The sequence below is a fragment of the Homo sapiens genome, chromosome 8 (assembly GCF_000001405.40).
Source record: "Homo sapiens chromosome 8, GRCh38.p14 Primary Assembly".
Lineage (NCBI taxonomy): Eukaryota > Metazoa > Chordata > Mammalia > Primates > Hominidae > Homo > Homo sapiens.
In genome coordinates, this window is record NC_000008.11 from 95,548,555 (window position 1) to 95,574,446 (window position 25,892).

The following is a 25,892-nucleotide window of genomic DNA, read 5'->3' on the forward strand; positions in this document are numbered from 1 at the left end:
GAAGCTTCTGGTTAGATGCTGATGACACAACTACTGGCATGACTACTTCAGAAATGGACACAGGACATCACTGCAGTCAACCTCTGCCACTCCTAGAATAGGTTATGGAGCCACTGATGCTGCTGCCAGAATAAATCCTCCAGGGTCTCTCATTTCCCATGCACTGCAGACTTCATGTCCTGGATAGGACTATCCTGTTGGCCAACATTTGTCATGTGCCCACTCTGCAGTTATTTTTGGCTTTGATTCTGATGGGGTGGGTTTTGCTCCTCTTCATTGTGGCATCCCATACCCTCTGCCTCACCCAAAGGAAGAAGGCTCATGCTCATACAACCAAAATGAGTGTTCAACACTCTTGAATTGAATATCTGGAAGCAACCTGATTATCTGGAATAACTAATTTCTGCTACTGGAAGCTTAAGATATAATCTAAATTCAACCACAGAAAAAATAGAAGCTTATGTTTTCATACACCTGAGCTTTGGTTTGAGAAATTTGTATCTGGGTCATTCAGTGGAATGGAGAACACCTTACCCATGCACATGAATGCCCCATGTAACCATTCAGCAACCGCCCTGGACTGCATCATTAGCCCCTTTTCAAGCCAGGAATCTCAAGGCCAAGTAAGTTAAGTGACTGTTTCACACCAGTAATTAGCAAAGTGAAGATTTGATCTTGGGGACTTGTTCTCAAACTTTGAGCCCTATCAACTACATTGTGATTTATTTTCAAGATATTAGGGCCAGATGATAACTAAATTAGACTATTCTAGATCATTTGTTCTGAAACCTTGTCCTTAACATGGTGCCATTTCCTCCTATTACGACGAAAAAGAATAAATCACAATGTAGTGGATAGGGTTCCAGGCTTGGGGAGTCTGTGCACGTCAGAAAAGCCTCATGGCTCCTCCAAACACAATTCTGACCTTTAATAAACCCAGCAGAATTCATCCTTCTTAGCTCACAGTCCTGTGCCACCAGAGAAAGAGAATTACCCAGAAACAAAGAGCAAAGTGCTTGTTGCCTACCCACCACATTTTATTCAATTACCTGCCAAGCTCCTTTCTTCCTTTTCCACTCCCTGGGTATCCATGGGAAGAGGTGAGAAGAGAAGAAAGGCATTTTACAAGTAATCTTGTCTGTTGTGCTTCACCTTGACTGTGCTTGGGGACATCATGGATCTCCATTTCTTTATCTCCACTTAACTGAGCAGAGTAGAGGCAGGAAACGCTTAAGACCAGAACAGTAATAGGTGTAAGTAAAAAAAAGTATCTGTTTTCCATTAAGGAGATTAACTTCTCTGTTGGGGTTGTTATTACAGCACTAGGTCAGGGGCCACTTGTGGCTGACTGGTGCCTCTTCTGACTGGGTGGTCATGGCCCCCCTCTAGCTCCTCTCTGGAGCAGGGGTCACTCTTCCTAAATCTGGCTTCTCCTGATGGAGTCAGAATGATCAGATTCCCTACTTCAAGTATTGACACAATAGGGTAATAATGGTGAGTCCTTGTTTTCAGGACGTTAGAACAAAAGAAGGAAGTATTTTGCCCATGTACTTTACAGCCATTCAATGAGGATGATTTCATGTTGAATTGCAAAATAATTACATTTTCTGGTAAAAATTACACCTTATATTGGTTTCCCACATAACATGTTTACCTCTAATGTCAACCCAATTCTAGTATGGTGCACTATAGTGTCACTATGTAGTAAACATTTGATGAATAGAAGAATGAAAACTCTCTAAAGACAGAAATAGATGCAAATCTCCACAACCCAACAAACTGGATGCTGGTAAAAAATAATTGACAACTAGGTGCAGCTATTGTTTTCAGGGCTTTCCTTCTTTCCTTCTGTATTGCAAACATTCATTACGACAACTTTCAAAGAAACACAAACATAGAATTTTCCAATGAATCTCCATGCATCTATCAACCATCTTTCATAACTATATATTTTTCCACCATTATTGTCAACCCCCATTGCCTCACACTTTTTTGGAGGGGATATTTTAAATAAAAACCCAGACATTGTTTGTTTCCACTCACAATCATTTTAGTCTATATTGCAAACAGAAGAGGACTTTTAAGAAATCTTCAACCACAATCCCATTATCACTTCCTCCCAAATTAACAGTCAGTCTGTAATACCATCTAATACTCAATGTGTGTTTGGTTTTCATCTCTTCTGAGCTTCCTGTAAAGTTTCTTCCTAAATTAACATTAATTTGTGGCTTAAGACTAGTACTTTTACTATTTATTAGAGATATAAACTCCAACACCCTTCCCTCCAAACCCTAATTGAATACTTAAAATTGCTAAATGAATAACTTATATCTCCACTAATTCAATGAAGACTATTTAATGAGGACTTAAAATGCTGCTGACATTATAGAAGGTGTATAAAATGGGTAGCACTCCTGGCCTCAACAAGCTTATGGTTTTAAGGAGGATATGCTAGGCTTGGAGGCCCCTCTAACACTTTATACTCAGTATGATAAAACTGATCTCATCTTCTTGCCTTTGACAGCCAGCTCCCCAGGGGTCCTGCCATGTCTGACAGTGGCCTCACCATTCCCCATGCCCCCCAGTCTCGACACTTGGCCCTTTTTCTTTAGCCTCCATATGTAGTCAGTTTCAAATTGGACTAATTTTCTTCTGAAATGTTTTCCATACTCAATCTTTTTTTCTCTAGGGGGTCAGCCCTCTGTGACAAAACAAGCCAAATATATGGTTGGAATTTACATGAGTCCTGCCTTCTGTAATGGGGCAAATCGAGAGGGAGGTGTTAGCAGCTCTGAGGGTATGGAGTCCAGCATTGTGCCGTAAAATGCTTCTTATGAGGCAGGTCCAAGGATGCAGCGTCAGGCAGATATACAACAATATGGTATTTGGCATACAAGTAATAATCAGAAAAAGCATCCCATAGCATGCACGTGGCAAGTAGGGAATGGGCCAAAGGAAGTACAGTTGGGACTAGGATTGTTGAGAATTAGATGGGGCAGATATGAGTGATGACTCCGGCTGATCCTTTGGAATTTCATTTAGAAGCAGAGAATCAATGTTTGATCACTTTCTTTAATTTCATATGCAGCAACAGAAAACTACCAAATTACTACTAATTTATCAGTTTCCGACAAGATTCATTTATTCTCTCACATTTCTGCAGGTCAGAAATCCAGGCAGCTTGACTGGGTTCTCTGCTCAGGGTCTCTCACAGGGCTGTCAAGGTGTTGGCCAGCCTGGGATCTTATTTAGAGGCTAGGGAAATCAACTACCAGTTTTATTACCATTTTAAGTTATAAAATAGAGGCAAAGACTGTCTTCAAATGATGGGGGTGATTTCTACTTTATCTGCAGTTTTTTCCACTGTGGCTGTACCAAGAATGAACACGGTCTCTCTACTAGTTTTCTCAGATTGAACAATGGTTTAGGCTTATACTTAACATAGTAGCCCATTCTCTGTTTATTAAAAAAAACCACACACATAGAATCTTATAGGTTTGTGTATTTTATGTTTAAATTAAATTCTTATAACTTCATGACCTCACCTCACTGAAAATTGAGATGGTAAGACCCATTGCCTTTTCTCAATGATCTCAAGGCCAGGGCCATCTGGAATATTTAGTGTATTTAACATGTGAACACATCAACAATAAACTTTCTGGTTGTTGTTTTTTTTCTTTTTTTTATTATTATTATACTTTAAGTTTTAGGGTACATGTGCACATTGTGCAGGTTAGTTACATATGTATACATGTGCCATGCTGGTGCGCTGCACCCACTAACGTGTCATCTAGCATTAGGTATATCTCCCAATGCTATCCCTCCCCCATCCCCCGACCCCACCACAGTCCCCAGAGTGTGATATTCCCCTTCCTGTGTCCATGTGATCTCATTGTTCAATTCCCACCTATGAGTGAGAATATGCGGTGTTTGGTTTTTTGTTCTTGCGATAGTTTACTGAGAATGATGGTTTCCAATTTCATCCATGTCCCTACAAAGGACATGAACTCATCATTTTTTATGGCTGCATAGTATTCCATGGTGTATATGTGCCACATTTTCTTAATCCAGTCTAGCATTGTTGGACATTTGGGTTGGTTCCAAGTCTTTGCTATTGTGAATAATGCCGCAATAAACATACGTGTGCATGTGTCTTTATAGCAGCATGATTTATAGTCATTTGGGTATATACCCAGTAATGGGATGGCTGAGTCAAATGGTATTTCTAGTTCTAGATCCCTGAGGAATCGCCACACTGACTTTCACAATGGTTGAACTAGTTTACAGTCCCACCAACAGTGTAAAAGTGTTCCTATTTCTCCACATCCTCTCCAGCACCTGTTGTTTCCTGACTTTTTAATGATTGCCATTCTAACAGGTGTGAGATGATATCTCATAGTGGTTTTGATTTGCATTTCTCTGATGGCCAGTGATGATGAGCATTTTTTCATGTGTTTTTTGGCTGCATAAATGTCTTCTTTTGAGAAGTGTCTGTTCATGTCCTTCGCCCACTTTTTGATGGGGTTGTTTGTTTTTTTCTTGTAAATTTGTTTGAGTTCATTGTAGATTCTGGATATTAGCCCTTTGTCAGATGAGTAGGTTGCGAAAATTTTCTCCCATGTTGTAGGTTGCCTGTTCACTCTGATGGTAGTTTCTTTTGCTGTGCAGAAGCTCTTTAGTTTAATTAGATCCCATTTGTCAATTTTGGCTTTTGTTGCCATTGCTTTTGGTGTTTTGGACATGAAGTCCTTGCCCACGCCTATGTCCTGAATGGTAATGCCTAGGTTTTCTTCTAGGGTTTTTATGGTTTTAGGTCTAACGTTTAAATCTTTAATCCATCTTGAATTGATTTTTGTATAAGGTGTAAGGAAGGGATCCAGTTTCAGCTTTCTACATATGGCTAGCCAGTTTTCCCAGCACCATTTATTAAATAGGGAATCCTTTCCCCATTGCTTGTTTTTATCAGGTTTGTCAAAGATCAGATAGTTGTAGATATGCGGCGTTATTTCTGAGGGCTCTGTTCTGTTCCATTGATCTATATCTCTGTTTTGGTACCAGTACCATGCTGTTTTGGTTACTGTAGCCTTGTAGTATAGTTTGAAGTCAGGTAGTGTGATGCCTCCAGCTTTGTTCTTTTTGCTTAGGATTGTCTTGGCAATGCGGGCTCTTTTTTGGTTCCATATGAACTTTAAAGTAGTTTTTTCCAATTCTGTGAAGAAAGTCATTGGTAGCTTGATGGGGATGGCATTGAATCTGTAAATTACCTTGGGCAGTATGGCCATTTTCGCGATATTGATTCTTCCTACCCATGAGCATGGAATGTTCTTCCATTTGTTTGTGTCCTCTTTTATTTCCTTGAGCAGTGGTTTGTAGTTCTCCTTGAAGAGGTCCTTCACATCCCTTGTAAGTTGGATTCCTAGGTATTTTATTCTCTTTGAAGCAATTGTGAATGGGAGTTCACTCATGATTTGGCTCTCTGTTTGTCTGTTGTTGGTGTGTAAGAATGCTTGTGATTTTTGTACATTGATTTTGCATCCTGAGACTTTGCTGAAGTTGCTTATCAGCTTAAGGAGATTTTGGGCTGAGACAATGGGGTTTTCTAGATAAACAATCATGTCATCTGCAAACAGGGACAATTTGACTTCCTCTTTTCCTAATTGAATACCCTTTATTTCCTTCTCCTGCCTGATTGCCCTGGCCAGAACTTCCAACACTATGTTGAATAGGAGTGGTGAGAGAGGGCATCCCTGTCTTGTGCCAGTTTTCAAAGGGAATGCTTCCAGTTTTTGCCCATTCAGTATGATATTGGCTGTGGGTTTGTCATAGATAGCTCTTATTATTTTGAAATACGTCCCATCAATACCTAATTTATTGAGAGTTTTTAGCATGAAGGGTTGTTGAATTTTGTCAAAGGCTTTTTCTGCATCTATTGAGATAATCATGTGGTTTTTGTCTTTGGCTCTGTTTATATGCTGGATTACATTTATTGATTTGCATATATTGAACCAGCCTTGCATCCCAGGGATGAAGCCCACTTGATCATGGTGGATAAGCTTTTTGATGTGCTGCTGGATTCGGTTTGCCAGTATTTTATTGAGGATTTTTGCATCAATGTTCATCAAGGATATTGGTCTAAAATTCTCTTTTTTGGTTGTGTCTCTGCCCGGCTTTGGTATCAGAATGATGCTGGCCTCATAAAATGAGTTAGGGAGGATTCCCTCTTTTTCTATTGATTGGAATAGTTTCAGAAGGAATGGTACCAGCTCCTCCTTGTACCTCTGGTAGAATTCGGCTGTGAATCCATCTGGTCCTGGACTCTTTTTGGTTGGTAAACTATTGATTATTGCCAGAATTTCAGAGCCTGTTATTCGTCTATTCAGAGATTCAACTTCTTCCTGGTTTAGTCTTGGGAGAGTGTATGTGTCGAGGAATGTATCCATTTCTTCTAGATTTTCTAGTTTATTTGCGTAGAGGTGTTTGTAGTATTCTCTGATGGTAGTTTGTATTTCTGTGGGATCGGTGGTGATATCCCCTTTATCATTTTTTATTGTGTCTATTTGATTCTTCTCTCTTTTTTTCTTTATTAGTCTTGCTAGCGGTCTATCAATTTTGTTGATCCTTTCAAAAAACCAGCTCCTGGATTCATTGATTTTTTGAAGGGTTTTTTGTGTCTCTATTTCCTTCAGTTCTGCTCTGATTTTAGTTATTTCTTGCCTTCTGCTAGCTTTTGAATGTGTTTGCTCTTGCTTTTCTAGTTCTTTTAATTGTGATGTTAGGGTGTCAATTTTGGATCTTTCCTGCTTTCTCTTGTAGGCATTTAGTGCTATAAATTTCCCTCTACACACTGCTTTGAATGTGTCCCAGAGATTCTGGTATGTGGTGTCTTTGTTCTCGTTGGTTTCAAAGAACATCTTTATTTCTGCCTTCATTTCGTTATGTACTCAGTAGTCATTCAGGAGCAGGTTGTTCAGTTTCCATGTAGTTGAGCCGTTTTGAGTGAGATTCTTAATCCTGAGTTCTAGTTTGATTGCACTGTGGTCTGAGAGATAGTTTGTTATAATTTCTGTTCTTTTACATTTGCTGAGGAGAGCTTTACTTCCAACTATGTGGTCAGTTTTGGAATAGGTGTGGTGTGGTGCTGAAAAAAATGTATATTCTGTTGATTTGGGGTGGAGAGTTCTGTAGATGTCTATTAGGTCCGCTTGGTGCAGAGCTGAGTTCAATTCCTGGGTATCCTTGTTGACTTTCTGTCTCGTTGATCTGTCTAATGTTGACAGTGGGGTGTTAATGTCTCCCATTATTAATGTGTGGGAGTCTAAGTCTCTTTGTAGGTCACTCAGGACTTGCTTTATGAATCTGGGTGCTCCTGTATTCGGTGCATAAATATTTAGGATAGTTAGCTCCTCTTGTTGAATTGATCCCTTTACCATTATGTAATGGCCTTCTTTGTCTCTTTTGATCTTTGTTGGTTTAAAGTCTGTTTTATCAGAGACTAGGATTGCAACCCCTTCCTTTTTTTGTTTTCCATTGGCTTGGTAGATCTTCCTCCATCCTTTTATTTTGAGCCTATGTGTGTCTCTGCACGTGAGATGGGTTTCCTGAATACAGCACACTGATGGGTCTTGACTCTTTATCCAACTTGCCAGTCTGTGTCTTTTCATTGCAGAATTTAGTCCATTTACATTTAAAGTTAATATTGTTATGTGTGAATTTGATCCTGTCATTATGATGTTAGCTGGTGATTTTGCTCGTTAGTTGATGCAGTTTCTTCCTAGTCTCGATGGTCTTTACATTTTGGCATGATTTTGCAGCGGCTGGTACCGGTTGTTCCTTTCCATGTTTAGCGCTTCCTTCAGGAGCTCTTTTAGGGCAGGCCTGGTGGTGACAAAAATCTCTCAGCATTTGCTTGTCTATAAAGTATTTTATTTCTCCTTCACTTATGAAGCTTAGTTTGTCTGGATATGAAATTCTGGGTTGAAAATTCTTTTCTTTAAGAATGTTGAGTATTGGCCCCCACTCTCTTCTGGCTTGTAGGGTTTCTGCCGAGAGATCCACTGTTAGTCTGATGGGCTTCCCTTTGAGGGTAACCCGACCTTTCTCTCTGGCTGCCCTTAACATTTTTTCCTTCATTTCAACTTTGGTGAATCTGACAATTATGTGTCTTGGAGTTGCTCTTCTCGAGGAGTATCTTTGTGGCGTTCTCTGTATTTCCTGAATCTGAACGTTGGCCTGCCTTGCTAGATTGGGGAAGTTCTCCTGGATAATATCCTGCAGAGTGTTTTCCAACTTGGTTCCATTCTCCACATCACTTTCAGGTACACCAATCAGACGTAGATTTGGTCTTTTCACATAGTCCCATATTTCTTGGAGGCTTTGCTCATTTCTTTTTATTCTTTTTTCTCTAAACTTCCCTTCTCGCTTCATTTCATTCATTTCATCTTCCATCGCTGATACCCTTTCTTCCAGTTGATCGCATCGGCTCCTGAGGCTTCTGCATTCTTCACGTAGTTCTCGAGCCTTGGTTTTCAGCTCCATCAGCTCCTTTAAGCACTTCTCTGTATTGGTTATTCTAGTTATACATTCTTCTAAATTTTTTTCAAAGTTTTCAACTTCTTTGCCTTTGGTTTGAATGTCCTCCCATAGCTCAGAGTAATTTGATCGTCTGAAGCCTTCTTCTCTCATCTCGTCAAAATCATTCTCCATCCAGCTTTTTTCCGTTGCTGGTGAGGAACTGCGTTCCTTTGGAGGAGGAGAGGCGCTCTGCGTTTTAGAGTTTCCAGTTTTTCTGTTCTGTTTTTTCCCCATCTTTGTGGTTTTATCTACTTTTGGTCTTTGATGATGGTGATGTACAGATGGGTTTTCGGTGTAGATGTCCTTTCTGGTTGTTAGTTTTCCTTCTAACAGACAGGACCCTCAGCTGCAGGTCTGTTGGAATACCCTGCCGTGTGAGGTGTCAGTGTGCCCCTGCTGGGGGGTGCCTCCCAGTTAGGCTGCTCGGGGGTCAGGGGTCAGGGACCCACTTGAGGAGGCAGTCTGCCCGTTCTCAGATCTCCAGCTGCGTGCTGGGAGAACCACTGCTCTCTTCAAAGCTGTCAGACAGGGACACTTAAGTCTGCAGAGGTTACTGCTGTCTTTTTGTTTGTCTGTGCCCTGCCCCCAGAGGTGGAGCCTACAGAGGCAGGCAGGCCTCCTTGAGCTGTGGTGGGCTCCACCCAGTTCGAGCTTCCCGGCTGCTTTGTTTACCTAAGCAAGCCTGAGCAATGGCGGGCGCCCCTCCCCCAGCCTCGTTGCCCCCTTGCAGTTTAATCTCAGACTGCTGTGCTAGCAATCAGCGAGATTCCGTGGGCGTAGGACCCTCTCAGCCAGGTGTGGGATATAGTCTCGTGGTGCGCCGTTTTTTAAGCCGGTCTGAAAAGCGCAATATTCAGGTGGGAGTGACCCGATTTTCCAGGTGCGTTCGTCACCCCTTTCTTTGACTCGGAAAGGGAACTCCCTGACCCCTTGCGCTTCCCAGGTGAGGCAATGCCTCGCCCTGCTTCGGCTCGCGCACGGTGCGCGCACACACTGGCCTGCGCCCACTGTCTGGCACTCCCTAGTGAGATGAACCCGGTACCTCAGATGGAAATGCAGAAATCACCCGTCTTCTGCGTCGCTCACGCTGGGAGCTGTAGACCGGAGCTGTTCCTATTCGGCCATCTTGGCTCCTCCCCCTGTTTTTTTCAAGAAGGCTTTTCTTATTCGGTTTACAAAAATTATTAAAAATAAGTCTCAGTTTTTCAACTCTTTACATATACTCCAGGTTTTCTTACTCTCCACTTTTTTTCTTAGTGGATTCAGGAGTTCCCTAATTTTAATTTTTATTTCTGAGGTTAACATTTGAAAATGATGGAGAATTTTCACTATTACCTGATCAAAATGATTATACCAAATATGTGATTAAACATTTGTGAACATACTGCTCAGAAGAAAATAACCTTTAATTTTCTTTCCAACTAATGAGGACACCACTTTTTTTTCTTAATATGGGATTGCAATTAGGACTTATTTATTTCTTAGCATTTTAGAAAAAATGCCTCTCAGACTCATTGGGGATGTAATAGTTCTCCTATATAAATGGAACTTTAAAAAATACATTTACTAGAAACTAAAATTTGATTCATGTACTTTGAGAACAACATCAATCTTAGATAACAGAGTTCTTAGAAAACCAAAGCAATATTTATGGTTGTTTAAAAATAATATTCACAGGGTTAGGTACGTTAAAAGACAAAATTATGACAAACTTAATTTACAGATCTTAATTGGCTCTTATAGATGATTCTAGAATCAGGTGACACCTCATTCTATAAAGGAGAATGAGTGTTCCATTTTGCTGAGTGGAGGAGGTTGGCTTTATAGATAGAACAGGGCTAAAGAAAGCTGAAATGGAGAACAAAAAGCAGATTGGTCATTACAAAATTACTTTCCTTGTAAAGGGGTGGTGGACTTCCTTATCATGACAGCTAAAACCTACCCATTTGGGGATTTGGCTTCTCTCTCCTGATTTCTTGGAAGTTAAGATAAACAACTCAGTTTTGATTTAGTGGTGTGGAACCTTAGCACAAGTGACTCCATTTTGGTTTAGTCTGTTGAGCCCTGCTGTGGGAGTTTAGTTGAAACCAATGGCCTTCTACAGATTTTATTAATAGGTACTATTACCTGGTCAAAATGAGGTGACAAGATTGATTTCTCTATTTTCAGGTTAATTTTTCAACTCCAAACCAATTTGATATAGTGTTGACTTAAATAGCACCCTATAGAAAACCATCCAATTCAAAAATTATTTCTATTTAACGCCTTCAGCTGTTTTGAAATTTATGTTCCATTTTATCCAGAATGAACTGGCTGAGAAGAAGTTAGGGATGGCTTTTGTGCGCCTGTGTTTCCATCATTCCTTTCTTCCTCTTTCTCTGAGCAGATCCTACTGGACCAAAGCAGTGGTGGTGGGAATGCCTGGCCCCATAGTTGATGCTCTGTGAATCGTTTTTGAATAGATGAATGAATGAATGAATGAATGAATGAATGAATGAATGAGGATGGCATAAAAGCAGGAAGGGGGAATTATTCTGGAGTGGTTGGTTTTTAGCCTTTCCAAGGCAGCAGGTGATTTTCAGTAACCGAGCACAGAACAGCTGCTTCCCATCACCTTCCTCAAAACTCCAGGAGTGAGTGTTGCTGTGACCTCAGTCTTGCTGGCACTTACCGCACAGGGAGGACGTGCAGGTTCAGAAATCTTGTGAAATAGAGTCAAGAAAATTTACAGGATGCCTGCTGAGCAGGGGGTACCAAAAAGACCAAATGGGAGTTTATGTAGTGACTGTACCAGCAAAAACTTCCCCCGGTGGCTGGCTGTGAAGTCCAGAATTTGGCTCCTAATGTCATCAAGAGTGACACATGTTATTGATGGCACTGGTTCCTGGAATCTACTTGAATCTTGCAATTTTTTTTCTTGCTATCTTTATTTTTCTCTGTCACTTTCTCTCTCTTTCCCTTCCTCTCTTTCACACGCACTCTTTGTATTTCCATGGTGGTGCTGAGCTTGTGTATAGAAGGTGACTTGACTTGGTGTCTGGTGAGGCCAAGGGGCAGCTTCTCCTGTGATAGGCACATTCGTGAACTCAGGGTCGTACTCCAAGAACATCTAAAGATGATTCAGCATCAGCATGAGGTACTTTGAGTTTTTTGGCATTTTCTAAGCTACCGGGGAGGGGGACAAAAAGGTGGAAATGAATCACTTCATGTAAATAAAACTTCAATAGTACTTTTCTGGAAAAAAACAGAAACAGCCCATCATAGAAACGACAGTCTCCAGGCCAAGAGGGAAGTGAGCAGGGAGCAGTTTGAACATGCACCAGGTCACCTCCTGGAGTAGTCTGGTCTTACCCCGGGTAAAAAAAATGAGATTATTCAGGCAAGGAAAGTAAGGAGGGCAAATGTGTGAATAAATATTATGATGAGAATCATAGTCAGTAGTTGTCAGAAGAAAGAATAAAGCAGCCAGGCAGAAATGTGTTAAGGAATTTCCTTCCTCCCACAACTTTAAGATAAGATTCTGGAATTATTGTTGTTGTAATTATTATTATTATTTACAGAGAAAATTTACAGTGGCTAGTGGTTAGGGTTTGTTTTCTGTCCTGATAGGGCTGGTGTGGGGTCTTGGTTTGTTAAATTGTTTTCTCATGCAAGCTGTATTGTAAGACCTAACATTTCAAGTGCTGCCTTGACATCTTTGAACCTCACAAGTCCCCCAAAGCCTAACTATGAATTCCTCTGCACTTCCTAGATATGCCTTCTGCTAAGTGGAAAAGGCTCTCCCTCTTCACCCACCTGTGATTATTTCCCCCATTAGCCAGACCAGCTTCACCCAACCCAGTTCTCAAACTAACAGATTTCATTTCCCTGCTGGACTGAAAAATTACTCCAACAATCCATGGGAACCAGGGGACACCTCCAAGTCTTGATATTATAAAGGCTGCCTCTCAGAGCCCCTGGTTGCTTAGTTTATTCCCATGTGCAACCCCTGTGTGGCCCTGCCTCCATGGCATACAATGTCTTCCTCCCTCAGGCTATGGTATATGTGACTAAAAACTGCTATCAATTTCATCTGTTTAACGTCAAGTGTTGTGTGTTCAGCCATCTCATACTATTTAGTGTGGGAGATCCCTTCTCTACCAATAGGGCGAATAGGAGTTTATCAGAATCTGAGCACACTCATGACTTCAGGGTATTGACCAGTGCTTGGCTCATCCAGTGGTCAAAAGCCTGTTCAAATTTCTGGGGATACTCACCTACAGATGCATGGAAAGCCAATACATAGCCAGAATAAGGAATCAGTAGGCATAGAATTGACCTTCCAATCCTCAGATTTTTGAAGAACATCTCATGACCCAGACACAAAGCAAGGATCAGGAGTCTAAGCTTATCCTATGAAAAAACTGACCACATCCTGCTCTATCTCCACACACCTGTCTTTCCCCAAAGTAAAGCACATTCTTTAAGACTCACAATATTCTGCATCAGCCATTTATTCTTATATCTGGGAACTGTAGTTCTTGAAGTCTCTTAATTGCATTGCTTTAAGATGGATTCCATATAGAAACATCGACATGGAAAAACAATGTAAATATTGCTTAAACTAGAATTCAGAAACAAGGTACTACCTTAGGTATTTTCACCTTAATTAAAACAGCCATGATACTAAACAGTTAAGTTGCGTTGACTTGCAGTTATTACTTTATATTTGGCTTTGCTATTCTGTGTCAAAAAAGTTTGGTTCTCTTTTTCCCATATAGAACCTCAAAATGCCATCAGTCCATGGGATATTTTCTTTAAACTGGTCAATTTGGTGGAGTAATTTATTTAAAATAAGTTTTTTAAAATATAGTTTTCTCTTTATTTTACAAAATGAGTAATGCAAGCTGGGACGTGGAGCTATAAAGTCATTGCAAAAAAAAATTACACAGCAAAACTGCTATTTTTGGCTTCTAATTCTAACCCGTTTGCCAACTTGTTGCAAGTTATACTTATCAAGGGATCATACACTTTTTCCATCTTGTTTCATCTTGAACCTAAAATGCTAACAGAGACCGTGAATGGTATTTGATTTAATTAGCTAGTGTTGCTATTGCTTGCTATATCTCCCAACTCTAAATATCTCTAAACATAAGCTTCTTTTGAATCCAGCTTTTAAGTGACATAAATTGTATTCACAGGAATAAAAATCATTACTTATCTATGATATATATGTTTATATTTCAACTGGAATGCTTTATCACACAGTCCTTAGTTTATGTTATAAAAGGATGGATCTATAATAAGTCAGCAGAAACCACAGGCATTCCTTTGGAATAACTCAATGGGAAACAACAAAAAACCATGTTTAAAATTAAATTTTTAAAGAAAGTAATTTTATTTTACTCCCTGTGAAATTTGAGATGTTGAAATTAAACATCCATAATATATAGTACACAGGTGCAGTTGCTACTTTTTTTAAAAAAAAACAGGAGGTATTTAGTGAATATTATTTTGGCCATTGAAATTAAATAATTTTTACCTATTTTACACAAAGACAGACTCCCTCCAAACAAAGGATAAAAAAAAGTTCCAGAATTCAAGGAAAACAATTGCCAAATTCAGATATGAAGCTCAATAGAGCATGTGGTAGGCAGAATGCTAGGATGGCCTCAGAGATTTCCTCTGCCTCAACTCCCCATGGCTGTGCAATCCCTGGGACTGTGAATATGATGGATTCTATTCTGTGATTAGGTATGTCACATGGCACAGTTGACTTTAAGGTAGAGAGATTATCTATATAGGCCTGACCTAACCATAAAGGCTCTTTCTTTGGCTGGTCATAGAAGAGGAAGTGAGAGACTTGAAGCATTTGGTGCACTGTCACTAGCTTAAAGACGGAGGAAGCCAAGTGGCAAAAAAATGTGAACATTGTCTAGGGGCTGAAAGCAGACTCTGCCTGTCAGCCAGAAAGGAAATGGGAGCTGACATCACTGCAAAAACACCAAAATTCTGCTAATTACAAGAACGAACATGGGAGTGAACTTTTCTTTAGAGCCTAGACAAGAAGTCAGGAGGTGTGTATCAGCCAACATCTTGATTTTGGCCATATGATACCCTGATCAGAGAACCCATCTGTGTCATGCCAGACCTCTGACCTGAAGATGAATGCTCTAATAAGAGGGTACTGTTTTAATATGCTAAGTTCGTGATACTTTGTTACATGGGAATATAAAGCTAACACAGAGCATAAAATCATATTTTATGAAACATGTAAGTAGGGAATTTTAGGGGTTAATTCAGCAAGAGTATACAACAATTATATATTCACCGAACACTGGAGCACCCAGATATATAAAGCAAATATTATTAGAGCTGAAGAGAGAGATTGATCCCAACACAATAATAGCTGCAGGCTTCAACACCCCACTTTCAGCAATGGACAGATCTTCCAGACAGAAAATCAACAAAGAAATATTGGACTTAATCTGTGCTATAGACCAAATGGACCTAATAGATATTTACAGAAAATTTCATCCAACAGCTGCAGAATACACATTCTTTTCCTCAGCACATGATCTATTCTCAAGAATAGACCGTATGTTGGGTCACAAAACAAGTCTTAGCACATTCAAAAAAAATTGAAATAATATCAAGCATCTTCTCTGACCACAATGAAATAAATCTGAATATCAATAAGAAGAATTTTGGAAACTAACAAACACGTGGAAATTAAACAATATGCTCCCGCATGACCAGTGGGTCAATGAAGACATTAAGAGGGAAATTTAAAAATTTATTGAAACAAATGATAAAGGAAACACAACATACCAAAATCTATGGAATACAGGGAAAGCAGTACTGACAGGGAAGCTTATAGCTGTAAGTGCCTACATCACAAAAGAAGAAAAACTTCAAGTAAACAACCTTATGATGCATCTTAAAGAACTAGGAAAGCCAGGAGCAAACCAAACCCAAAATAAGTAGAAGAAATAATAAAGATTGAACAGAAATAAATGAATTTGAAATGAAGAAAATGATAGGATCAACAAAACAAAAATTTAGTTTTTGAAAGATAAAAAAAATAGACAAACCTTTAGCCAGACTAAGAAAAAAGAGAGAAGACCCAAGTAAACAAAATTAGAGATGAAAAAGGAGACATTATAACTGATACCATAGAAATTCAAAGGATCATTAGTGGCTACTATGAGCAACTATATGCCAGTACATTAGAAATTCTAGAAGAAATGGATAAATTCCTAGACACATGCAGCCTACCAAGATTGAACCAGGAAGAAATCCAAAACCTGAATTGACTAATAACAAGTAACAAAATTGAAGCTGTAATAAAGTCTCCCAGCAAAGAAAAGCCTGTCACCCAATGGCGTCATTGCTAAATTCTACCGAACATTTAAAGAAGAACTAATACCAATCTTAAACCATTCTGAAAAATAGAGGAGAAGGGAACACATTCAGTCTCATTCTATGAGGCCAGTATTACCCTGATACCAAAACCAGACAAAGACACATCAAAAAAAGAAAACTGCATGCCAGTGTCACTGATAAATATTGGTGCAAAAATCCTCAACAAAATGCTAGAAAACTGTTCAACAACACAAATAAAAAGATCATTCATCATGACCAAGTGGGGTTTATGTCAGGTATGCAAGGATGGTTCAACATTTGAAAATCAATTCATATAATACATTATATCAACAGAATGCTGGACAAAAACCATATGATTATTTCAATTGATGCTGAAAAAATATTTGATAAAATTCTACATCCTTCATGATAAAAACCTAAGTGTCCATCAACAGATGATCAGATGAAGAAAATGTGGTACATATACACAATAGAGGTCATTATGTTAAGTGAAATAAGTCAGGCACAGAAAGACAAACTTCACATGTTCTCACTGATTTGTGGGAACTAAAAATTAAAATAATTGAACTGATGGAGATATTGCATGGAAGTTTTGTTACCAGAGGCTGGGAAGCATAGTGGGAGGTTGGCAGGAGGTTGTGGGGATGGTTAATGGGTACAAAAAATAGTTAGAAAGAATGAATAAGACCTAGTATTTGTTAGCACATCAGGGTGACTATAGTGAAAAATAATTTAATTATATGTTTTAAAATAACTAAAGATTATAATTGGATGTTTGTAACACAAAGGATAAAAGCTTGAGGTGATGGGTACCCTATTTACCCTGATGTGATTATGATACATTGCATGTCTGTATCAAAATATCTCATGTAACCCATAAATATATACATGTATTATGTACCCACAAAAATCAAAACAAAATTTACAAAAAAGCAAAGTGAGAATGTGGCTTTATATGAGCTTAACAGAAGTAGACTAAAATATTATCATGACACTTGAGTGTTCGTGCCTTGAGAGTCTAGAGAATATTACTAATTCATAGATCCTCTCAAACAAGTGAAAATTTTGCCCTAAATTGACCACCTGATGCTAACATGGAGTGGGTCACCATGCTTGCCCCCAGCTCTTAATCAGTTTACTTAAAGATTATATATATTTAAGATGTACAATTTGATGTTTTGTTATATATATACCCTGTGAAATAATCACCACAATGAAGCTAATTAACATACCCATCACTTCACATGTTTACCTTATTTGTTTTTTGAGGGATGAGAATACTTAGGATCTGTCTACCCTATTAGCATATTTTGAGTATACAGTACAGTATACTTATTCATCAATAGACCTTTACATTGTTTCCATATCTTGGCTATTGTGAATAATGCTGTAATGAACATGGGAATGCAGGTATTTCTTTGAGATCCTGATTTCAATTCGTTTGGATATATACCCAGAAGTAAGATATCTGGGTCACATGATAGTTTTATTTTTAATTTTTTCAGGAATTTCCATACTGTTTTTCATAATGGCTGTACCAATTTACATTTCCACCAACAGTGTACCAGGGTTCCCTTTTATCCACATACTTGCCAACACTTGCCACCTTTATTTTTTGGCGGGGAAGTGGGGGGACGGAGTCTCGCTCTGTGGCCCAAGCTGGAGTGCTGTGGCACAATCTCGGCTTACTGCAACCTCCGACTCCCTGGTTCAAGTGATTCTCCTGCCTCAGCCTCCTGAGTAGCGGGATTACAGGCATCTGCCACCACGCCCAGCTAATTTTTGTATTTTTAGTAAAGACGGGGTTTCACCATGCTGGCCAGGATGGTCTTGATCTCCTGACCTCGTGATCTTCCACCTTGGCCTCCCAAAGTGCTGGGAATACAGGCGTGAGCCACCACACCCGGCCCCTTTTGTATTTTTTAATAGTAGCCATCCTAACAGGTGTGAAATGGTATCTCTTTGTGATTTTGATTTGCATTTCCCTGATGATTAGTGATGTTGAGTGCTTCTTCATAAAACTATTGGCCATTTGTAAGTCATCTTTGGAAAAATGTCTAGGATCTATCTACTCTCTTAGCAGATTTCAAGTATACAGTACAGTATTGTTACCTGTAGTCACCATACTATACATGAACGCTCCAGAACTTATCTTCCATAATTGAAACTGTATCCTTGACCAACATCTCCTCATTGCCTCCTCCTCCAGCCCCTGGTAACCACCATTCTCTTCTCTGTCTCTTTAAATTTGACAAGTTTAGATTCCACATATAAGTGAGATAATACATTATTTGTCTTTCTGTCCAAAAATGTCCAAAGATATTTTACCTGTTTTTACATCAGGTATTCTTCTGTTTGTTGCTATTGAGTTGTATGAGTTCCTTATATGTTTGGTATATTAACCCCTTATCATACATATGGCTTACAAATATTTGCTCTCCTTCCACAGGTTGCTTTTTCATTTTGTTTGTTGTTTCCTTTGCTGTGAAGAAGCTTTTTAGTTTGATGCAGTTCCATTCATTTAATTTTGCTTTTATTGCTTCTGCTTTTAGTGTCATATCCAAAAATCTTGCTAAGAACAAAGTCAAGGAATGTTTCCCTGTGTTTTCTTCTATGAGTTTTACAGTTTTCTGTCTGGGATTTAAGTCTTTTCATCCATTTTGTTTGCTTATTTATTTAATAGAGAAAAATTGTATATACTTATGGTATATAAATGCTTTGATATATGTATATGTTTTGGAATAGCTATTATAAGCTAATTGACATATGAGTTACTGCATATACTTACTTTTTGTGATGAGAGCACTTAAAACTACTCTTTTAGGAATTTCCAATCATACAATATATGGTTATAAACTATAGTCACCATGATGTACCATAGATCTCTTGAACTTATTCTTCCTGTCTAACTGAAATTTTGTATCCATTGACCAACATCTCCCCAGTCTCTTCACTCCCCAGCATCTGGTAACTGTAATTCTACTCTCTGCTTCTGTGAGTTCTAATTATTAAAATTTCTTATATAACTGAAATAATACAGTATTTGTCTTTCTGTGCCTGACTTATTTCACTTAATAGAATGTCCTCCGGATTCATCCATGTTTTAGCAATTGACAGCATTTTCTTCTTTTTAAATGCTGAATAGTATTTCATTGTGTATATGTACCACTCTTTTTTATCCATTCACAAATCGATGAGCACTTAGGTTAGTTTAATCTCTTAGCTTTTGTGAGTAATGCTATAATGAACTCAGGAGTGCAGTTATCTCTTCAACACACTGATTTTATATCCTTCAGATATATACCCAGAAATGGGACTGGTGTATCATATGATAGTCCTATTTTCAATTTTTTGAGGGAACCAGAGTACAGTTTCCAATCTTAGCTAATTTACATTCTCACTAGCCATGTATGAGGGTTCCTTTTTTTTCCCACATCCTTGCCAATACTTGTTATGATTCATATTTTTGATAATAGCCATTCTAACAGGCGTGAGGTAATATCTCTTCATGGTTTTAATTGGTTCTCCCTGATAGTTAGTGACGTTGAGCCTGTAATTACATTAAACTAAAACGTTTCTGCATAGCAAAGGAAACAATCAATATGGTAAAGAGAGAAAACTGATGGAATGGGAGAAAATATTTGCGAACTATACATCTGATAAAGAGTTAATATTCAAAATATATAAAGAACTCAACTCAATAGCAGGGAAACAACCTGATTTTTCAAAAGGAAAAAGACATTTTTCAAAAGAAGACAAATAAATAGCCAACAGGTATATGGAAAAAATGTGTGAATCTATTTCGAATTTATTTTTGTGTATGGTGGAAGACAAGGGTCCAATTTCATTATTTTGCATGAGGATATCCAGTTTTCTCAACAACATTTATTGAAGAGACTAATGTTACTCCATTGTATAGTCTTATAGCCCTTGTTGAAGATTAGTTGACTGTTTATGCCTGGATTTATTTCTGGTCTCTCTATTTTGTTCCATTGGTCTATGTGTCTGTTTGTATGCCCAGACGATACTGCATTGATTAGTACAGCTTTGTAATATAAATTGAAATCACATAATGTGATGCTTCCACCTTTGTTCTTCTTGCTTAAGATTGTTTTAGCTATTTGGGGTCTTCTGTAGTACCATAAGAATTTTAGAATTTTTTTTCCATTTCTGTAGAAAATGCCATTGGAATTTTGATAGAGATTGCATTGAATCTGAAGATAGCTTTGAGGAATGTGGACATTTTAACAATATTAATTCTTTGCATTCATGAACATATCTTTCCATTTATTTGTGTCTTCTTCAATTACTTTTATCAATGTCTTACAGCTTCTGTTTAGATTCTTCATCTTGGTTAAATTTATTCTTAAGTATTCTTTTTGATACTGTTATAAATGGGCCAGCGTTCTTAATTTCTTTTTGGATAGTTCATTTTTAGTATAGAAACACTACCGATATTTGTATGCTGATTTTGTAAACTGCAACTTTACTGAATTTGTTTATTAGTGCTAACAATTTTTGGTGGAGTCTTTAGGATTTTCTAAGTATGTAATGATGTCATCTTCAAACGGATAATTTTACTTACTCCTTTTCAACTTGGATGCTTTTAATTTCCTTGCTGCTTAATTACTCTGCCTAGGACTTCTAGTAGTGTGTTGAATAGAAGTGAAAAAGGGGCATCTTTGTGTTCCTGAGCTTCAAGGAAAGGCTTTCAGCTTTTCTCTCCCAAATTTGTTGAGAGTTTTTTTTTTAAATCATAAAATAATTTCAAATTTTGTCAAATTCTTTTTCTGCATTCATTAAGATTGTAAGATTTTTGTCTTTCCTTCTGTTAATGTGGCATATCACATTTATTGATTGTTGAACCATTCTTGCATCCCAGGGATGAATCCCAGTTGATCGTGTGTATGATCCTTTTTATGTGCTATTAAATTCAATTTGCTCATATTTTGTCAAGAATTTTTGCATCTATGTTAATCGGGAAGACTAACTTATGGTTTTGTTTTCTTGGAGAGTCCTTGCCTGGCTTTGGTATCAGGGTAATGCTGGCCCCATAAAGTGAGTTTGGAGGTTTTCCCTCCTCTTCAGTTTTATGGAAGTGTTTAATAAGGATGAGTGTTAATTCTTTAAATGTTTGGTAGAATTCACCAGTGAGGTCATATGATCCTAGGCTTTTCTTTTTGGGGAGATTTTTGATTACCGATTCAACCTATTTTCTATTGCTTGATTTAATCTTGGTTGCTTATGTTTTTCTGGGTATTTATTTGTTTATTTCTAGGTTATCCAATTTGTTGTCCTGTAATAGTTCTTATAGGATAATACATTGTCTTAGACACTTATAATTCTTTGTATTATTATAATTATTATTTTAATTATTTGTATTATAGACACATTTCTGTGGTATTGGTTGTAGTGTCTCCTCTTTCATTTATAATTTTATTTATTTGAGTTATCTCCTTTTTTTCTTAAGCTAGCTGAGGTTTGTCAATTTTGTTTATTTTTTTCAAAAAACCAACTGTTACTTTTATTGATCTATTGCTTTTCTAGGTTTCATTTTATTTATTTCTGCTTTGATCTTTATTATTTCCTTCCTCCTGCTCACTTTGGGCTTAGTTTGTTCTTTTTAAACTCCCTTGAGGTATAAAATTATGTTGTTTGAGATCTTTCTGTTTTCTTCATGTAAGCATTTGGCATTTTCCTTTAGAACTGCTTTTGCTGCATCCCATATGTTTTAGTATGTTCTGTGTCCGTTTTTGTTTGTCTCAAGATATTATCTGGTTTTCCTTTTTGATTTCTTCCTTGACCCATTAGTTGTTTAGGAGTGTGTTAATTTCCAAGTATTTGGAATTTTTCAATTTTCTTTGCTACTGATTTCTAGTTTCATACTACTGGGGAAGGAACATTTGTTTCATACCATTGTTAGAAAATCTTAGTCTTACAATTTTAGTCTTCTAAAAGTTGTTAATTTTTTTTTGTTTCCTAACATATGATATATCCTGGAGAATGTTCTGTTTGTGGCTGATAAAATGTGTATTTTGTTGCTGTTGGATAGAATGTTTTGCCTATGACTGCTAGGTCTATTGGGTGTTGTTGTTCAAGTCTGCTGTTTTATTATTGATTTTCTGTCTGGATGATCTATCCATTACTGAAAGGAGGATATTGAAGTCCCCAACCATTATTATCTTTCATTTGGTCTCTCTTTTCAGATCTATTAATATTTGGTTTATATATTTTGGTGCAACAATGTTAGGTGCATACGTACTTATAATTTTTATATTCTCTTGATTAATTGACTTGTTACCATTTATATAGTGACCTTCTTTGTCTCTTTTTACAAAAAACCTATTTTGTCTTAGAATAGCTCCCCTCCTCTACTTTGGTTACTATTTGTTTGAAATATATACACTTTTGCATCCATTCACTTTCAGCCAAATGTGTGTCCCTAAAGGTAAAGTGAGTTTCTAGTATGCAATATATTGTTGAGTCTTATTTTTTATCCATTTATCTACTTTGTGTCTTTTGATTGGAAAATGTAATCCATTGACATTTAAAATAAGTGTTGATAACTAAATACTTATTATTGCTATTTTGTTAGTTGTTTTTCAAATGTTTTATTGTTTGTTCCTTTCTCTCTAGCTGTCTTCCTTTTTGAGTTCATGATTTTTTTTTGTAGTGTTCTGCTTTGATTCCTTTCTTATTTTTTGTGTATCTACTAAAAGGTTTCTCTTTGTGATTACCGTTTATAATTCTTTGTGATTGCCATTTTATAATTACAAAATGTTTATATAATGTTTATAATGTTATAAAATGTTTGTTTAAACATTTTATAATTCTAGCAGACTGATATGGTCTGGATTTATGTCCTTGTCCAAATCTCATGTTGAATTGGAAGAGGGGCCTGGTGGGAGGTGATTAGATCATGGGGGTGGATTTCTCCTTTGCTGTTCTCATGATAGTAAGTGAGTCCTCATAAGAGATGATGGTTTAAAATTGTGCGGCAGTTCCCCGTTTGCTCTCTTTCTCTTCTGCTCCACCATGGTAAGATGTGTTTGCTTCCTCTTTGCCTTCCACCATGATTATAAGTTTCCTGAGGCCTGATAGTCATGCTTCCAGATAAGTCTGTGGAACTGTGAGTCAATTAAACCTCTTTTCTTTATAAATTACCCAGTCTCAGGTAGTTTTTTATAGCAGTGTGAAAATGGACTAATACATAGACTATTTTAAACTGGTAAAAACTTTGATTTCACACAAAACTCTGTTTTTATTACCCCCCTCTCCAACACACACATTTGAAATTGTCGATGTCACTATTTAAAATAATATATATTCATTAACACATTATTGTGACTATAGTTATTTTTAGATATTTCTATCTTTAAACTTTTATGCTATCATTAAAAGTGATTTATGCACCACCATTACAGTATGAAGTATTCTGAATTTGACTATATACTTACCTTTACTAGTCAGTTTTATACTTTTATATATTTTCATATTGCTATTTAGTTTCCTTTATTGGAACGTGAAGAACTCCCTTCAGCATTTCTTGTAAGGTAGATCTAGTGGTGATGAATTCCCTCAGCTTTCATTATCTGGAAAAGTCTTTATCTTCCTTCATTTCTGAAGGACAGCTTTGCCAGGTAAAGCATGCTTGGTTAGCAGGGTTTTTTTTTCCTTCATCACTTTGAATATATCATCCCACTCCTAGCCTGGAAGGTTTATGCTGAGAAATCTGCTGATAGTGATACACGAGTGGGGCAGGGAAGTACTGGGTAGAGAAAGACGGGGTCCCTGGTGAGGGCTCCACCCTCGGGCCTGTGCCCATGGACCTAAATGAGGATAGGCACTCCTGTTTTTGTGCCCAAATGTTGCATTTTCCAAGACCACTCTGGCCCACCATGCCCCCCATCCTGTGCCTATAAAAACCCGGAGACCCTAGCAGGCACAGACACAAGTGGCTGGATGTTGAGAGGAACACACCGGCAGAAGAACACACCAATAGACACCGGCAGGCCATCGATGGTGGAACGATGCAGATGCCGAGGGAAATTTGGCTGAGGGCAGTTGGAGGAGTGGCTGCTGAGTGGCCCGACTCCAGGGGAGGATCACCTTCCCACTCCATCCCCCCATCCATCTGCTGAGAGCTACTTCCAGCACTCAATAAAACCTTACACTCATTCTCCAAGCCCACATGTGATCTGATTTTTCGGGTACACTAGGGCAAGAACCCCAGGATACAGAAAACCCTGTGTCCTTGCAATAAGGCAGAGGGTCTAATTGAGCTGATTAACATAAGCTCAATGGCTTGTTGGATGGCTAAGCTGAAAGAGCACAGTGCAAAACACACCCTCTGGGGCTTCAGGAGCTATAAACACTCAACCCTAGACGCTGCTGTGGGGTCAGAGCCCACGCTCCCCATGACTTGCCCATAGGGGTTTGAGCTGTGGGGCACTGAAGAAGTGAGCCACACCCCCATCGCATGCCCCCTGGGATGGGTAAGAGAAAACTCCTCCCATTTCAATAGTCTTATGAGTTTCTCCGTTGGCTGCAATGTGTCTTGGTGAATATCTCTTGTTCAGTCTATTTTTGGTTCTATGGATATCAAAGTTATGAATGTTAATTTGTCTCCCAGACTTGAGAAGTTTTCTGTCACTATTTTTTAAAGTAAGTCTTCCTCCCCTTTCTCTTTCCCTGTCCTTTCTGGCACGGTCATATTGCTCATGTTGTTTTGTTTGATGTTATCTCATAAGTCATGTGGGCACAGAGTTATTTACATCCATGGATGACTGTAAAAATTGATGTTTCTATGAAGGTATAAGGACTAGAATCTCCCAATATACCACCTTGCAGAATCTCTATTCCTGAATTTAGATAAATGAATGGAAAGTCACAAAGGAATTCATATGTACAGACATACCAAGTTCCTGGAAGCACTTATTCTGTTCATAATCATCACTCATTGATTTTTTTTTGCTTTTTTCTTAAAATAGTCATATTGCATAGACAACCAGGACCTACTCATTATGTTTAGCACCTTACTTTGGCATGTCCCTCAGTTTGTTCATCAGTTGAGTTGAAAGTTCTCCTTACTTTTTTTCCTGATAGGCTTTCTTAATATTCAAAACATTTGTTATAGAACTTAAAAGGATTTTTCTGATATGTTGTTATTCATAGGCAGACAGTGTAAAGCTTAACCATGATTCCAGTAAGAGAAACTGAGAGCAGCAGGATGGTTTGTAGCATGTTCATATGAAATTTTTTTATCATTTTTAAGAAATTCAGCCTCAGGAGGACTGTCACCCCATGGAGAAATATGGCATGAATAATGGCAATGTTACTAAGCATAGCACCTTGTGCCTGAAAGCAACATCAGTGTCATTTAATCTAGACTTTGTTGACAACACAAAGACAGCATGAGTACTACTTATCTCTCCTCCTAAATTCCTTATGGGTCCTTCTAATCATGCAACACTGTTTCCCACTAACTCTAGACATAGACTCAGACTATTTCTCAACATAGTGTTCTAGAAAGTTAATAATAATATTTTGAGATTGCCTCAAAATTAAATTAGTATGTCATCCATAGTCTGCCTGAATCACCCAAGATAGATTCTATCTCTTCTTCTGTAGATTAAATTGATTATCATCTCATTCTCATCTAGGCCTGAGGACAGGAGTGGAGCTCCACAAAGAGACACGAATGTTATTATTATAATTTTTAAACACAAAGGCATATATATATATATAAATGCTTAAAAGACATTTCCTCGGACCAGCTATATATTGGAATCCCCAAATTTTGGGTAAGGCTGAGAATTCCTGGATAGATTCACTCAGAATCCCCGAAAATTAAGTTTAGATCAAACAACTGCCAAGAGAGTGCAAAACTGATTAAAGAGTTATTCACAGTGATTTATCAATGGTTTTTCTATCAACTAAAAGGCACAACTGATTAC

General features: G+C 38.0%; 1 long non-coding RNA gene across 9 annotated transcripts in view, besides 1 other annotated feature; it reads left to right on the top strand.

Annotated features, from left to right (window-relative positions):
* The window catches only part of CFAP418-AS1 (CFAP418 antisense RNA 1), a 541,308-nt gene that overhangs the window by 279,719 nt on the left and 235,697 nt on the right, over nt 1-25,892 (top strand). The gene's annotated exons all lie outside the window — the stretch shown is intronic.
* Nucleotides 9,363-10,023: an enhancer, noted in NCBI's record as "H3K27ac-H3K4me1 hESC enhancer chr8:96570145-96570805 (GRCh37/hg19 assembly coordinates)". NCBI's record gives its function as "activates a minimal SCP1, AML or CMV promoter by ChIP-STARR-seq in naive H9 embryonic stem cells {active_cell/tissue: H9 hESC(naive)}" and the evidence as "EXISTENCE:reporter gene assay evidence [ECO:0000049][PMID:30033119]".